Here is a 17,405-nt window from a genome sequence, read left to right as displayed (position 1 = left end):
TCTTTATTCATTCTCTATCCTTGCTATTGGCCATACAATCCAATGAGACCCCTCAACTCAAAAATTCAGGGTCATCTTTGATTCCTCTGCTGATGTGATCCAAAACATTGTAACATGTCCTTGGTCTCATCCTCAAAAAATCTTCCATCAAAGCTTTCCATGACATGCCCTCTTCTCCTCTCTGGATGCTGCTAAGGCTCTCTCATCTCTTCTGGTAGTCCTTCTCTTCTTTCTTCTAAACCTCTCCTAGAGGAAAGTGTACAAGGCAACACATCTTACTTCTTTGATTTTACCACATTGCTCTATTTTTTTTTCTTTTATGCTTCTTTTCTAGAGGCAGCATGTGCAGTGGAAGGAATATGAGTTTGGGACTCAGCCAGAATATAGACTGTGCTCTGTCACTTATTAACTTGTGCACTGCAATGTTAATAAATCTCCCCTATCGGTAAAGGGGAGATAGCATCACCTATCTTGAAGGACTGATATAAGTATTTAATACTATATGGAATGTAATGTTCAGGCTCTGCACACCCAGCAGCTCTCAAACCCTTCATATTCTTCATATTCCCATTAGTAGATAGGAAGACAGAAGACCTGTGCCCTGTTCTCCATCTCTTCCATCTCAAAGGCTCTGTGTGGTATTTACTGAGCATCTCTGGCAGAAGCTCATTATTCTCCTCACCTTCTCACCAGTGGTTGCTCCTTCTTTACCAGAATGCATCTCAAACACAGATGACCGAGTACTGGATAAGGAAAGAATTTTTATTTTTGTTTTTTTAATGAAGAAACCAAAGTTCACAGAAGTTATATGATTGGCTCAAAGTACACACTTAAAAGAGAATTTTGAGAAATTGTCCTTGGGAGAAATGACCTTAGACATAATAACATGCTTCAGTAATATCCCTCAGAGAAAGATTTCCATTCCTCCTTTTGTACTTTTCAATTTAGTTAATGATTGGGCTCTGAGGTTGTCGTAAGAATGTGTGAGAAGAACTTCTATAGTTCCACTATTCTTTTGCCAGGCTTTATCCATTTCAGACTGATGGGAGTACAACCTATTTTAAATGTGATCTAGATGGAAAACTTAACAGTTTCTCCTTGGATGGACCATTCCAATGTCAAACTTTGCTGACTTACAGGCCTCTAAAACAATTTTCCTTTGAATAAAAACAGGGGGCAGATTATTTCCTAAGTGACACAGAAATCAAGAGCCTGAGCATTTGTTTCAGACAGAACTGGATTCAAATTTCACCTTTGTCCTTTGCTATTCATTAGCTGTGTAACCTTCGAACGGTTACTGAACATCTTTAAACCAGGAACTGTAATAACTACTCCTAAGTTTACTCTGAATATTAAATTAGGTTCATATTTGTAAAACACTTTTCAGCACTTGGCTCAGTGTAAGTGACAAAAAAGTGGCCGCAAATGCATATGAACCACATGCTCGTTGAACAGATTTTATATTTATTACTGCAATAATGAAACAAAAGAAACACTGCTGAAATGATCACCAAACAGTTGTATGCAGTTACAACATATAATAATCTCTGAATAGTGATGCCACAGTTATTCTCTTTTCATATTCCTTTTCCTTTTTGCTTCCAGGATGTAACATTGTTCTAATCTTTAATTTGCCAGAGAATTTAAGTGATCTGAAGAAAATACACAGTATCTGCTTCTGTTTCTCTCTGTCATTAAATCTGGATTGCAAGAAAAATTATTTATCCAGGTGTCCTCTTTTGGTTGTTTCCTTGATTTACATAAAAATGATCTCCTATCCTTTTCCCTCTTTTCCCCCAAATGAGGAGGACAATGAAGATCTGAAGTGCCAGCTGCAGTTTGTTAAGGAAGAAGCCGCTTTGATGAGAAAGAAAATGGCCAAGATTGATAAAGAAAAGGACAGATTTGAACACGAGCTCCAGAAGTACAGATCCTTTTATGGGGATCTGGACAGTCCTTTGCCCAAAGGAGAAGCCGGAGGCCCTCCCAGCACTAGGGAGGCCGAGCTCAAGCTACGGCTAAGGCTGGTGGAGGAAGAAGCCAACATCCTGGGCAGGAAAATCGTCGAACTGGAGGTGGAGAACAGAGGCCTGAAGGCGGAACTGGACGACCTTAGGGGCGATGACTTCAACGGCTCGGCCAACCCGCTCATGAGGGAGCAGAGCGAATCCCTGTCGGAGCTGCGGCAGCACCTGCAGCTGGTGGAAGACGAGACGGAGCTGCTGCGGAGGAACGTGGCCGACCTGGAGGAGCAGAACAAGCGCATCACGGCGGAGCTCAACAAGTACAAGTACAAGTCCGGCGGCCACGACAGCGCGCGGCACCACGACAACGCCAAGACCGAGGCCCTGCAGGAGGAGCTGAAGGCGGCGCGCCTGCAGATCAACGAGCTCAGCGGCAAGGTCATGCAGCTGCAGTACGAGAACCGCGTGCTTATGTCCAACATGCAGCGCTACGACCTGGCCTCGCACCTGGGCATCCGCGGCAGCCCCCGCGACAGCGACGCCGAGAGCGACGCGGGCAAGAAGGAGAGCGACGACGACTCGCGGCCTCCGCACCGCAAGCGCGAAGGGCCCATCGGCGGCGAGAGCGACTCGGAGGAGGTGCGCAACATCCGCTGCCTCACGCCCACTCGCTCCTTCTACCCGGCGCCCGGGCCCTGGCCCAAGAGCTTCTCCGATCGGCAGCAGATGAAGGACATCCGCTCGGAGGCCGAGCGCCTGGGCAAGACCATCGACCGGCTCATCGCCGACACGAGCACCATCATCACCGAGGCGCGCATCTACGTGGCCAACGGGGACCTGTTCGGACTCATGGACGAGGAGGACGACGGCAGCCGCATCCGGGAGCACGAGCTGCTCTACCGCATCAACGCTCAGATGAAGGCCTTCCGCAAGGAGCTGCAGACCTTCATCGACCGCCTCGAGGTGCCCAAGTCTGCGGACGACCGCGGCGCCGAGGAGCCCATTTCCGTGAGTCAGGTACAGTTCTGCCTATTGCGAGCCACGGCGGTGGCCAGGCTGGCCCGTGGAGCCGCGTCCCTGGGGGGCGTCTCGGCGCCCGGACTGCCGCGCCCCGCTTGAGGGAAGCCCCCGCTCAGGGCCGCGCTGGGGCCTGAAACCCCCGGCCTCGGCCCACCAGTTCTTCCACACTGTCCTTCTGCAGGGCTGAGGTTTTTGTGACTCCATCACATAGTCACCATTTCTTCCTCTGTTTTGTTTAAAAGGAAAACTGAACACCATTACCCTCAATTGTTGTGGAAAGAGTAACGGATTTTGAGGCACGTTATTATTTTAGAAGGTCAATATTTTTCTCTGTTACTCTGCTAGCAGATGAACTGCAAGATGGTCCTGGATAGGAATATTTAACTGCTGATATGTGGTTTTTGAGCCAAGATCCATATTGAGTTTAGGATTTAAAAAAAATGACTAGACTAGGAGGCCGAGGAGGGTGGATTGCTTGAGCTCAGGAGTTCGAGTCCAGCCTGGTCAGCAAGGCAAGATCCGTCTCTCCAAAACATATGAAAAATTAGCTGGGTGTGGTGGCACGCACCTGTAATCCAAGCTACTCCGGAGGCTGATGTGGGAGGATCACCTGAGCCCAGGCAGGTCGAGGCTGCAGTGAATGGTGATTGCACTACTGCACTCCAGCCTGGGCAAGAGTGAAACCCTGTCTCAAAAAAAAGAAAGAATAAAACTAAAACAGAATTGATGGCAGGGCACTGTGGCTCATGCCTGTAATCCCAGAGGCCAAAGAGGGCAGGAGGTCAGGAGTTCGAGATCAGCCTGGCCAACATGGCGAAACCCGTGTATACTAAAAATACAAAAATTAGCCTGGTGTGGTGGCGCACTCCTGTAATCCCAGCCACTCCGGAGGCTGAAGCAGGAGAATCACTTGAACCCGGGGAGAGGGAGGTTGCAGTGAGCCAAGATTACACCACTGCCCTCCAGCCTAGGCGACAGAGTGAGACTCTGTCTCAATAAAAAAAATTAATTTAATTAAATAAAACAGAACTGATGGATAACTACTGGTAAATGTAGAAACCAGTGGTAAAGAGACATGGTTTTGTGTCTACAACCCCCTGGAAAGGAACAAATGAAAGCCACTTTTTTTTTTTTACCATAAGTTGAAATAACATGATCATTATTTCCAGAGAAAATCACTCTCAGTTGTATAGTGGAGAATCTCAGGACTGGGGAAGGAGTCTATACGGTAGCTTGAAGGCAACACTAATTCAGAGAAATAGTAATAACTATTCCAGAACAGGGAAAACCAGCATTTTTCCTCCATCCTGATTTGTAGAGGCACACCGGATGAATTGGACTGAGCTGCTTTGGCCAGGTATGGTGGCCATTTAAAGACCAATGCATTTTGTCAGAGTTAACCACATGAAAGATAATTTATGAAACAAAACAGGCAATGCTGTTTCCTCTGGCAAGCCTGGTGTCCTGTATCCATTGGAGAACCCACGGAAGTACAACAGCATGCATGGCTTTTAAGACACGGAAGACATTTAAAAGCCAGTTTACGTACAGAAGCATGGTTTTAGATTAACTGCCTGTTGGTACAGCTAGAAACATTGCAGCCCTATCGCTTATTTATCTTGCATGTTGCTCTGCTTTGCTATGAAAAATATCGTTTTATGATAAAACTTGTTGAATTTTGATATGTATTCGGTTATACTCTTAGGGAAAATAATAGAAATTAGAGTGAGAGAAAGTGCTATGTATATTAGGCTTTCAGATTTTATAGATATAGGCTTAAGGGAGGGTGGAGGTTCTTTTTTAAGTTGAATGACTACTTAAATTTGTTGATGTGAATTTAAGTTTTAAAGATTATTATTAATTAACTCTTCTCTTTGTCTTTGCATTTACCTTCCCAGATGTTCCAGCCTATCATTTTACTTATTCTCATTCTTGTATTATTTTCATCACTTTCTTACACAACAATATTTAAACTTGTCTTCCTTTTTACACTGTTTTTTGTACTGTAAATCTTTCATCATTTACCATTCATTGTAGTATTTTCAGTTTGTTTATTTTGTTCACCCTTCAAGACAAGAAGTAAAAGAAGTATAATTTCTGTAGTAACCAATGCTATAAAAACACTGAAGACTGCTTATTTCTTTAAAAAGATACAACTCATCTTACCAAGACCAAATTCAATAAGAAGCCCAAACACTAAAATATTTCAGGTAAGAAAGTGTGACATTTTTCTGTATGAATTGTTTTAATTTTTACTTCTTTTTTTCATCCTGTTTGTCTCCTCTTGATAAATAATTGGCATACTGAATATAAAAATGGACTACATGTCTCATAATTATTTCTCAGTAGTTCACTATTATTATTCAAAAGCTGGACGGACATTCACAATTTGGTCACATTTCCAAAAAGTATATACATTTGTAAAGTATCTTTGCCAGGTTGCATCAAACTAACAAGATAATTTTGACATCCAATAAATATCTGAAAAAAAATATGGGAAATAAATGAAATGTGACCCTCATGAAAACTAAGTAATATGTCGTAATGCCAATGTGTTTTGTCTACAGAGATATGCTTGGAAGCATGAGATTGGATTAGGTCTTAGTTCATTTAGGAAATAATTATCCCTATCCTACTCTATTTGACCAGATTCCCACCAAACCTGCCACTCCTGCTTTTACTTATTATACTTGAAGTCGTGTATTGCTAATCGAACTTATTGCTTAGAGTCCTATCCTCTATAATAGATTGCCTCCAGAGTAGGAAATACTCTATAAATATGATATGTGAATTGTTTTGAATAGGGAAAAAATACAGTCATTCTCTAGAATTTCATTAAAGTATGGTCATTTTCTAGAATTTCATTAGATCACAATCCAAGACTGGTAGCATAGTTCAGGCAGGAGGTGCTCTCGAGATATAAACTAACTTCAATAAACCTGAGCATCCCCCTTTCTCCTCAAACCTAAAGTGGCCTGGATAGACTCCATCTACCCAAAGGACCCATTCTGTCCATCTCATTGATAGTTTATCCAGTGCCACCCAAGAGTCAGCAATCTCCGCACTTGTTGAAGTCACATACTTGTAAATATTCACAGGTTGGTTGACGGATATGAAAATCTGTGGAAAGTGAAGTATCTTGCATGTCTGCAAAAAGGATATGTGGAAAAACTTTGTTATAAAAGTTGCTATTGGTAATGGTCCTTGGAATCCCAGGAATTTAACTTTCAAGGGACTATAATTTATTTATAGTCTCATCCTCCCACACATCCGTTTGAGTATTAATTAAACAAACAAACAAACCTTCACAATAGTCTAAAACTTTAGTTTAGAATAACTGCTCTTACTCTCTATAGGATTTGTTTGGTTTTGGTTTTTGGTTCTGTTTGTTTTTTGACGGGGAGGAGAGACTTGGAGTGAGGAGTGGTTACCCAACAGTTGGAATCTGTCAATATGCACTTCTGGCTTTTCATTTTAGAGATTCTGAGAGCTAGGTAAAGCTTCATTACAAAAATGAATGAAATGAGATAAATGCCATGTTTAATCAATTATATATAATTCAGGTGTTTGCTTTTTAAAATTTTTTCATCTCAGAGATAACAAACACTTTAAAACCTAAAGTTTGTCTGTTAGATCCGTGATAAGTTTCCAGGCCACCATTTCAGGAACTGAAAGTAAATGTTTGAGGGCAGAAATGTAGCTGAAATATTTATCATCTTTGGAGCCAGTTATACCTGTTAAAAGGTTCTCAGCCACCTACAGAGCATTTGGAAGTGTGTGGAGTGTTGCAGGTTATTACAATGACTGGGAAGTTCACTGGCATTTAGGAGGAAGGGATCAGAACTTCAAGGTCCCTGAAATCCCACATCACAAATAATTGGCTTGTCCAAATTGCTGATGTTGTCTTTGTGGAGAAACGTGATATGGTATGCACTTATTCACTTCAGAAGCATCATGCATATTCACCACCCTGTGTGACTTTAAGAAACTGGCTTTACATTTTAGCTTTCTTTATCATGAGAGGAATCAAAAATGAAATAACTAGATCAGTAGTTATCAACACTAGCTGCACATCAGAATTTCTGGGATGTTTTTATTTGGGGACCTACTCCATACTAATTGAAATAAAATGTACGGACCTAGGCATTTGTATTTTTAAAAATGCCCCAGAACCACTACTCTTAGATATTTGAATTATCTAAAATACACATTCTATATAGCCTCAACAAAGCTTACAGTAAACTATGTGATACCAAGATATAGGATCATTAGTTGTCTAGGTTTGAGTAGACTTTAAAGTTTCAGCTGCTCAGTGGATGTCTGAATTCTCTCTACAGCATTTCCACTTAGTTGTACAGCCTTTGCCAGAAGGGATATCACCTCCAGTGATAAAGCAATTATATTTCTGCGCTGGTGGTCGTGCCAGAAAACTTGGCTTGCATTAATACAAGTTTTCAAAAACACAAAATCAAAGGTAAATAGGAGTAATACCTAACAGAAAAGAGAACCAAGATGAATAGTGTGTGGGCACAGGGTCACACACCCACTGAAAGAAACAGGCATGTGTGCACACTGAATTCAAGACTCAAGATGATCCCACAGTGATCTAACATGTTATTACAACAAAATCCCTAGGCATTCTTAGATGGGCTGACAGCCTAAATATATGCAAAGATGGTGCAAACACCTCAGTGATAACTTATGACCTGAATAGGAAAGGAGAGATGTCTGAGCTAACCAAAACACCAGCCTCAACTATAGATCTCATTTTAGGAACTATGGTCATGTTCCCTATGTTGCCCTTCTGGCAACAGGGGTATTAATCTTACCTATGAACTCCTAAAGCAGTGATAAGGTTTGACTCTGTGTCCCACTCAAATCTCATCTTGAATTGTAATCCTCACAGGTTGAGGGAGGGACCTGTAATCCCCACATGTAGAGGGAGGCAGGTGATTGGATCATGGGGGTGGTTTCCCCCATGCTGTTCTCATGATAGCAAGTGAGTCCTCACGAGATCTAATGGTTTTATAAATGTTTGGAAGTTCCTCCTTCACTCCTCTCCACTGCTGCCTTGTGAAAAAGGTGCCTGCTTCCCCTTCCACCATGATTGTAAGATTCCTGAGGCCTCCCTAACCATACAGAACTGTGAGTCAAAGCTCTTTCCTTTATTAATTGCCCAGTCTCAGGGAAGCTCTTTATAGCAGTGTGAAAGTGGACTAATACAGGCAGTTATTTTATAGAATTTCATGAGACTTAAACCTCATCCAGATCCTCCATATGTGAAACTCCTGTGAAATACTGGGGAGAGGAAAGTAGGCTGAAGCAGTACTGACTTGACTGCTGCTCACAGATTCTGGGGGATATGGGATCATTCCAACAGCTCCTCTGAAGTTAGTGAATCAACTTTACTGAACAGTTGAATTCCAGGGAGGCTCTTTTCCACTCTGCCCCACTCACTGCATAAACCAGCTTCCCGGTTGTGCCTGTGTGTACACACACAGCTCCATCACACTGTGGTGTATAATGAGAAATGCATCCAGGGTCAGGGCATTCAGAACTGCCTCTATCTTAGGGGACATGCTGGGGACCAGTTGGTGGAAGGTGGGGTCAGAAAATTGCCAGCAGGCACAAAGTGACCTTTTTCCTTGCCATCTTTTCCCTATAACTTCAAGCTGTTCAATGGGCGCCCAGTATCCAGGGTGCACCTATCTCTTAAAGCGTAGAACATAGACTTGGGAAGATAAGTTGACAAAGATGGTGCCCAAAACCTCAGAAAGAGAGTCCCCAGCATCTTCCCCTTTGATCCTGTTGCTTGCATTATTTTTGTTATATTAAGCTGTTTCTGAAAGAGGAACAACCAGGCTTCTTGATTCACCAAGAGAGCAAAGACTCTTAATTATTAAGACAAGGCGTCATCTTTTGTTTGGACCTTTGAAGCTGTGCTATTTAAACATCACACCAAAGTAAACTCAACAGAGCAAGCCTTATTCTAGAAAATTCCCTTGTATGCACATTCTTGGCCATAGGAAGAAGTGTCTTCTTGTTAATTTGGCCTAGATCTAAGAAAAAAGGAATTCAGTTGGCTATTTTTAGGCATAAGTAACTAAACTCATAAAACAAAGGAAAATTCAGTCCTGAGCCTGGAATGTGTTTTGGCCTGCATTCTCCAATCTTCACTTTAGTTTGTGTGATAGAATGGGATATGGTTATTTAATCAGCTGCCAACGAAGTTTGGAGTGTCAATTTGGTAGCTCAGCCCTAATTCCAAATATTCGTGCAGAGTTTGTAACTGCATTCTGATAGAACTACAGTCCAGTTCATCTAGTAGAGTCATGCTTTGGGTCAGACACCATAACTGAATGTAGAAATTGAAGAGAAGGTAGTGGAGAATATTACCAGAAAGTAAGAAAAGTCGACCATTTATTAAACTACTGGGATATGGTACAGTTAAAACACAGTATGCATGAAGACATAACTGCTTAAATCCTAGTTGTAAACCAATTAGGTCTAATGAAAGATTTCATTCTACGTTTTTAATTTTGATCTGGTTTTTGATAAGTAAAGTAATTTCATTCATATTTTGATGAAACTCACATTTCATGGGTAGGTCCTGATATTCTCAGCAGTCTACTTCTAGAATTTCAGATAGAAACTCATACAAAATAGAATGTTTCATGGCCTGGACATGGCAGAACACCTTTGTAGTTACAGTAATAAATGTGGTAATATCTTAAATGTGGTAATGCTTCTAAACTGTACTTTCGAGTTGATCAGTTGAGAGAAGGGAAAGTGGTAGTGGCTGTTTTTCATGTTTGCCATTTTGAAAATGTGTGCAAATCATAGAATCTCTAAAGGTCCTTTCCATGTAACTTAAATACATTTTCATCCATGTCTTCCCTGCTTAAAGGTGTATTTTCTGCACTTACTGGCAGTTCTAGTCTGTGTCTGTCCTAGTGAAGTTGTGGGTAATATTTTAAATATTTCTGGGGGCATCTTTTGAGTAGAGTACTGTTATAACCCACTTGATCAAAGAACAAGAGCAGCAAATATAACACTTTTTAGATGTAAAGAGAAACCTCAGAAATCTCTACCTTGCACTGCTCACTGTTAAGCCAGGCTGTGTTGTCTTTTTTTTTTTTTTTTTGAGACGGAGTCTCGCTCTGTCGCCCAGGCTGGAGTGCAGTGGTGCGAACTCGGCTCACTGCAAGCTCCGCCTCCCAGGTTCACGCCATTCTCCTGCCTTAGGCTCCTGAGTAGCTGGGACTACAGGCGCCCGCCACCACGCCCACCTAATTTTTTGTATTTTTAGTAGAGACAGGGTTTCACCATGTTAGCCAGGGTGGTCTCGATCTCCCGACTTCATGATCTGCCGACCTCGGCCTCCCAAAGTGCAGGGATTACAGTTGTGAGCCACCGCGCCCGGCCCAGGCTGTTGTCTTAAAGAGCCCCATCTGATCTTATATCCCAGATATTTATGATTAATAAACTTAAGTCTATTGACATTTCCTGATTATTCAATTTCAGTGTTACCATTATAAAACTTTTTTAGTTCAGAGTTGTATGTATTTTTCTGTAGCTATTTTTCAAAATAAGATACCAACAAAACTCAACATCTGAAGATAAAATTGCAAACATTTAGTTTAAGATGAGAATACATAATCAGTGGTTGTTAGCAGTTATTCAGCCTTTACAAAAATGTTAATAAAATTTTATTGACTTGCATATTTGAATGTTTTTCTCAATGTTTTTGAATCCAAATTCCTATTTAGCATATATTAAACTCAGATAATAAAAATTTGCGTTTGTTTTGATGATTTTTATTTAAATTATCAGCAAAGTTTTAGATATATTTTAAAAATGATTTTAAATGATTATTTTTTACTAAATAAACATTAAATAAACAGTAACAGTGTAGAGCATTACACTAATTTAAAAACTAGAACTTTTCAGAAAAGTTTAGAACATCAACTCACTTAAGAAAATGGCAAACCACCCTGAGGTATTCAGGAGTGGTGCAGTATCTTGACTATTTGAAGTGTTACAATGTCATGCGTACTCCAGATATGGAGCTGTGGAAATTACTGACTCTGAAAAAGTGTGCTTTATGCGTTTATTTTCTGTAGTCTCTTCTGAATGTTTTGAGTTGAGCTGCTTATGTTAACAAGCATATGCATAAGTGATTATTGAAGGCTGGGAAACGGCATCACTTCTTTTTGAGGTTGTCCAACATGATGTACCTTTAAAGTTAGCTCTTTAAGTTTATGTCAAAAGTACCTGCCTTAACCTGTGCATTCAAATATTAAGAGAGTATGAGGGGCAGAGAGCAGCTCATCAGTTTACTTACTTGCCTCAAGTGATTTAGTAAGGGAAGATAATTTAAGAGCTTTTTTAAAGAAATGACTTATATACTCTTATTTCTTAAAGTCAGAACACTCAGTTTAGTTTGTAGTTTATAACTCCCTTCCATCTTTCTTATAAACAGTTTTTTCACATTCTGTGTTACTCCTTTTGCATCACTGACTCCGGGACAGACAAAATAGAGTTAGACTTCTTAAATAGAACATCCTGTGTATTGGCCTAGATCAGTCATTTATAACTGGGTTTCAGCATGACAAGTTACTGAAATTAATTTTTTTCTGGACATTAGGTGACTCCTGGGAATCCAAGCAGGAAAGGAAATGTGTATCTGCTGAGCCTTTGCCCGAAAGGAAATGTGTACCTGCTGAGGCTGTCGGCCCACTGCATAGAGGGCCTTAGCGTTTGTAAATAAGCTTAGATTACATCTAGTGGAAAAAGCCGTAGTGAAGCTAGTTGAGGTAGTCAAGGAAAATGAGGACTCCCTGGCCTTGGACCTCATCTTGATATGAAAAAAACTGTCCAAGAGGGGAAACTGAAGTCTCTATTCAGCCTCCGTACTTCAGAGGGAATGTAATTGATTCAGATGCAGCTATTTGTTTGAAGATACCTGATATTTGTAGAAAGTGACTGGATTCAAAATAGTAGTGTGGATTAAAAAGAGTTGGATAAAGAAAGAGTGAGGTTGGCTGGGCACGGTGGCTCACGTCTGTAATCCCAGCACTTTGAGACGCCGAGTTGAGTGGATCACCTGAGGTCAGGAGTTCGAGACCAGCCTGGCCAACATGGCAAAACCCCGTCTCTACTAAAAATACAGAAATCAGCTGGGCCTGGTGGCGGGTGCCTGTAATCCCAGCTATTTGGGAGGCTGAAGCAAGAGAATTGCTTGAACCCGGGAGGCAGAGGTTGCAGTGAGCTGAGATCGTGACATCGCACTCCAGCCTGGGTGACAAGAGTGAAACTCTGTCTCAAAAAAAAAAAAAAAGAATAAGGTTGCAGAAATCTTATTTTGCAATATATATTGATAGCGTCAACAACATCAGAATACAGTGGAAGGGTCAGACACAGCTGCTTTTGAGGATGTACTAAATACCTACTGTTTCCTTCCTGCACTTGAAATAGCTTTTGCCCTACATGATACCACCATTTTGTAACTCTCTCTTCCTAACCCCTTTTCCTTTATGAATTTTTGAGATGTTCATGGGCAAATTACCCATCAAGGTATTGTGCTTATAGGCTAATATGGACTTACTGAGGGACCTTGGCCATGGAAAATGGGTCTGCATGGTTCTGCAGAAGACCCTGAAAATGGGTCTGGCTGATTCTGCAGAGTGGGCCTAGGAGCTACACTGAAGTGTGACTTTAGGCCTCCCGTTCTGTAACTTTACCTCCAGATCCTTTACTGTATCCCTCTCATATCATGATGCCATATTCCTTTTGACCTGAACTCCAGGGGCTCAAAATCTAACACCCACCTATGCAGTTCCCCATTCAGATCTTCCACCTGTTTCCCCACTCCATGCCCTGTGAATGAAACAGATGGCTTTCCTGACCTCTAATCAAAGCCTACCCATATTGATCTGTTCCTTCTAGTCCTTAGTATGTGCTACCTCTTCTTTTCTGTGCCGAAGTGGTGAGTAGCCAATAGTTATTTCCTCTACCAGTGGTATTTTACTAGGCAATTATTGGAAATAGAATGCTGCCACCCGGTAGTGATAAATCTAACATTTCTCGTAGAAGATATAGGTGGATTAGTTACTCCCTGGGGCAATATGGATTAGTTCCTGTGTCCTTCAAATTGCACTCACCAAGCCTGAGCCATGCTTTACTGCTGAAACATCCTAGCAGAGAGAAGTAAGTGGCTCAGGGTGGCCCTCTTGTGGTGGACAAGCATTCCCAGGACTCTGCTGGTCACTAAAGAAAAGGTAGCCCTCAAACAGTCCTTTTTATTATTTTTGATTTTATTGTCATCATTATCAGTATCCTCCAAGTCAAGAATCTGTAAATAATACAATGAGATGCTAAAAACAAGTTTGAAAAATGTGAGCAAGGTCTGTTTCTAGTTTTAAAATAGCCCACATTTCTCAAATATGTTACTGTTTGGTTCAGAATTTGGACCACTACCTAAAAAGAACAGATCATTCAAACGTGTCTTTTGAATATTTCTGTCATCTGGAAATGCCTGCGCATAAGCCCCATGACGGATGTGCTTGGCTAAAAAACCTGTTGACGTGTCCTCAGCCTTCAGAATAGAAGAGACAGCCAGTTTCCCATGATTCTAAGGATAAACATCCCCCACTGGAAAAATATTACATTAGCTGGCAAGTAATAATCCAAACATGTACATGGATAGTAAATATTCTGTGTGTGATCCTCATAATTTTATACTCCAAAACAGTATTTTAGGAGGATCAAAATTATATTTATTAACACACAGTTGAAATTGCCATTCTAGAACTCAAATAACACAGGACCAAATTTGACAGAATCAGCTGTGGAACTTTATCAAAAGTCTGAAGCCAGGACCTCACCACTGGATGGTCTGAGTCAGAAGTCTGGGGAGAGTTCCAGCATTACTATTTTTCTTTTTCATTCTCTGTGTGATTATAGTATGCAGCTAGGACTGAGTGAGAGTAACACTAAACCGTGATCTCCTTGGTGGAATGCTGTGGGTACTCCTAGGAGAGACTCTCCAAATTTGTGAATTTATACCAGTGTAGTGGGCTACTCAGAATGCAAACAGTCACGCTACATGTCACATTTCAGGGAATCTTCAGAGCTGACCAGACCTGTTGAAGACAAGGATTTCTTCCTCTTCTTTGAGTCCTCTTGGTCTAACCTGGCACAGAATTGGTATTCACAAATATTTGTTAAATGGAATGTTAATTGAAGTACCCAAGACCTTAGGAATTGAAGATAATTTAAGATTTAAGAGTTCTGCTAAACAACTGAGATCTCATGATCTTAAAGTACTTTGAAAATTGCAAGGGGCAGACATTATTCAAGAAGGAAGGATTTCTTAAAATACGTCCTTTATAGTAGCCTTTGAACTTTAACATGCAGAAGAATGAGTTTAGGCGGGGCACAGTGTTTCAGGCCTATAATCTCAGCACTTTGGGAGGCAAAGGAGGGAGGATCATTTGAGCTCAGAAGTTCAAAACCAGCCTGAGCAACATAGCAAGACCTTATCTCAAAAAAAAAAAATAAATAAAATTAAAAAATTACCTGGGCATGGTGGCAAGTGCCTGTGGTCCCCTACTCAGGAGTCTGAGGCTGGAAGACTGCTTGAGCCCCAGAGGTTGAGGTTGTAGTGAGCCATGATCACACCACTGCACTCCAGCCTGGGTAACAGAACAAGACCATCTCAAAAACAAAACTAAACTAAAACAAACAAAAAAGAACAAGTTTAGTTTTTTTAAAAGTTGTTCTCTTTTTCAATCTTTTCTATCTTCTTTCCAATGAAAATAGAAACACAGTACCCCTTTTATTGTTAAATATGTTTAAAGGGTAAAAGAATAAGCAATGGAAAAACGTTATAAACAAGAAATCAGAAGCTCTCCAGTCTCATAACAACCAGGTTGTCATACCATAAAGAGAACAAATGAGTAACTGCTTTGTAACACTTCAGGATCATTCTGCAAACAAAACCATAGATTAAATATGTACTGGCACTAGCATGCTTAAGGCCATGTTGCCATGTTTATCTTCAGATTTTTTAACTGCTAAGATAAAATCCATTTGCCTTTTTATTTTGACCCAGTGTTTACAATTAGCTAAGGACACGAGCCTCTTTAGATAGTAATAAATACTCAGCTGGCTGGGCACAGTGGCTCATGTCTGTAATCCCAGCACTTTGGGACGCCGAGGCGGGTGGATCACGAGATCAGGAGTTCAAGACCAGACTGGCCAATATGGTGACACCCTGTCTCTACTAAAAATACAAAAATTAGCCGGGCATGGTGGCATGCCCCTGTAGTTCCAGCTACTCAGGAGGCTGAGGCAGAAGGATCACTTGAACCTGGGAGGCGGAGGTTGCAGTGAGCTGAGATTGCGCCACTGCACTCCAGCCTGGGTGACAGAGCAAGACTCCCATCTCAAAAATAAATAAATAAATACTCAGCTATATGATTCTTATGTCATACTTGAAAGATAGAGTATCTTCTCTCTCATTTGGACATAGAAGAAAACTGAATTTAAAATTTGCCAAAGCCAGAAATCAACTTCTCAGTCTCCTCTCATATCCAGCATTCTTATTTCGATTTTCTTCCCTTGCACTTCTTGGAATTTTGAACTTCAAGGCACTCCACCAGGAATGAGGAGACCTGGATTCTATTCTTGGAATGGCCACTAAGTGGCTTTGTGACCTTGAGCAGATGAGTTACTCTCAGGGCCTCTTCCCTCAACTGTAAAATGAGAAGGTTAGCTAGATGATTTCAGAAGTTCTTTCTGGCTCTAAAATTCTGTAAGTCTGGAAACACCTGCTAGTGACATTTATGCACGCATTAGTTCTCTTTTACCCTTTTTAAAATGTTTTTGATTGTGCCTTAATATTATTATTAATATAGATCTTTTCCATTTCTTTTTAGAATTTTCTTTTTTGTTTCTTGACAGCAGGCAGTGTTTCTACATTTATTTTCCATTAAGTGTTATTATGTACATTTCTTTACATATCTGTTATACATTGAAATAAGATTAGTATGTCATAAGGTATGAATGATGTAATTCTTTCTAAAACATAGGGCAATCATTTGTGAATTTCATATTTGAAGATTTAAATGTTCAAATGGTTTAAAGAAAAACTGCATTACAAAACAAATTGCATTTTTTTCATAAGATTTTCAGTCATTCTGACACCTGCTTGAAAACCTCAGGCAGTTCAAGATGTCTGAATGTAACTGTAGGGCTGAGTATACCAGCATCAGTCTTTTAAATGCATTCATTTTATGTATATAATTGTGGTAAATTTTCTTTTAAAAGTTTTCTTAAAAAACAAAAAGTTTTCAAGGGAAAATATCAAAAGCTGTGCTGAACATTTCTTGACTTTGCACCGTATCACCTAATTGACTTACTTTCTGTCTTTTGGGTATGAAATATGGCCTGGAAATTATATATTTTATATAAATAACATATAATATAAATTATATATATATAAACTTCAACAGAAAAAGTTGGTAAATACTAGAATAAGTGGTAAACTTGGAGTAAACTTTTTGTCAAAGATTTTCATTATTATTTGATTCTGTGTACAATTTAAGATCAGCTTTACCATGACAAGAAGCAGATGAAGCACTTGAATCTGATATACATTGAAATAAATTAGTATGTCATCAGGTATGAATGACATAATTCTTTCTAAAACATAGGGCAATTATTTGTGATTGCCCTGGGACAATCACACTGGGACAGCCATTAAAAGAGATTGAAATGGGTACTACTGAGTGACACTTAGGAAGTATAGTCCAACCTAACATCTCTTGTAACTTAGACACATACTATCTGAATTTTCGATAGGATTTACAAAATAGTCTTAGTTTGATTTACAAGTGATACATAGAAGTTAAGAAGTTTGGAGTAGAAGAAAAGGTAAAGGAAACAATGTTTTTTGTTTTGTTTCTCTGAGACAGAGTCTTGCTCTGTCAACCAGGCTGGAGTGCAGGAATGCCATCTCTGCTTACTACAACCTCTGCCTCCCGGGTTCAAGCAATTCTCCTGCCTCAGCCTCCCTAGTAGCTGGGATTACAGGCCTGAGCCACCACAGCCGGCTAATTTTTTTATTTTTAGTAGACACAGGGTTTCACCATGTTGGCCAGGCTTGTCTCGAACTCCTGACCCCATGTGATCCACCTGCCTCCGCCTCCAGAAGTGCTGGGATTACAGGTGTGAGCAACCACACCCGGCCAGAAACAATGTTAAGACAATTCTGTATTGATGTTTTTGTGCAACTCCCTCCTCCCTTTCCCTCTCTCAAAGAATCTTCTTCCTAGCCTCATAAGCATGGAGGCAGACATGAGCTACCCTTTATTGTGTGCTTGGCGCTATATATATTCCCTCATATTCTTATGGCCT

The 17,405-nt window shown here is 40.6% G+C and overlaps 1 protein-coding gene and 2 long non-coding RNA genes across 3 annotated transcripts in view, besides 1 other annotated feature; 2 read left to right on the top strand and 1 right to left on the bottom strand.

Moving 5' to 3' along the window:
• Positions 1–5,300, top strand: part of MTCL3 (MTCL family member 3) — a 46,362-nt gene extending 41,062 nt beyond the window's left edge. The window contains exons 6-7 of the mRNA NM_001400265.1: positions 1,806–2,981; positions 4,883–5,300. Coding sequence (NP_001387194.1) covers positions 1,806–2,981; positions 4,883–4,993 — 1,287 coding nt within the window. The 3' untranslated portion in view covers positions 4,994–5,300. The remainder of the gene's footprint in view (positions 1–1,805; positions 2,982–4,882) is intronic.
• SOGA3-KIAA0408 (SOGA3-KIAA0408 readthrough) overlaps positions 1–17,405 on the top strand; it is an 80,930-nt gene that overhangs the window by 41,062 nt on the left and 22,463 nt on the right. Inside the window, exons 6-7 of the long non-coding RNA NR_174482.1 lie at positions 1,806–2,981; positions 4,883–5,194. This is a non-coding gene — a long non-coding RNA (SOGA3-KIAA0408 readthrough). The remainder of the gene's footprint in view (positions 1–1,805; positions 2,982–4,882; positions 5,195–17,405) is intronic.
• Positions 13,036–13,330: a silencer, noted in NCBI's record as "tiled region #7566; HepG2 Repressive DNase unmatched - State 12:CtcfO". NCBI's record gives its function as "represses a minimal TATA promoter and a strong SV40 promoter by Sharpr-MPRA in HepG2 cells {active_cell/tissue: HepG2}" and the evidence as "EXISTENCE:reporter gene assay evidence [ECO:0000049][PMID:27701403]".
• LOC124901399 (uncharacterized) lies at positions 13,740–14,680 on the bottom strand. Its single transcript, XR_007059750.1, has 2 exons — positions 14,565–14,680; positions 13,740–14,178 (listed from the first exon to the last, which is right to left on the bottom strand). It is a non-coding gene; the product is annotated as an uncharacterized LOC124901399 (long non-coding RNA).

Source organism: Homo sapiens, chromosome 6 (assembly GCF_000001405.40).
Source record: "Homo sapiens chromosome 6, GRCh38.p14 Primary Assembly".
NCBI lineage: Eukaryota > Metazoa > Chordata > Mammalia > Primates > Hominidae > Homo > Homo sapiens.
This window is presented reverse-complemented; position numbering and strand designations above follow the sequence as displayed.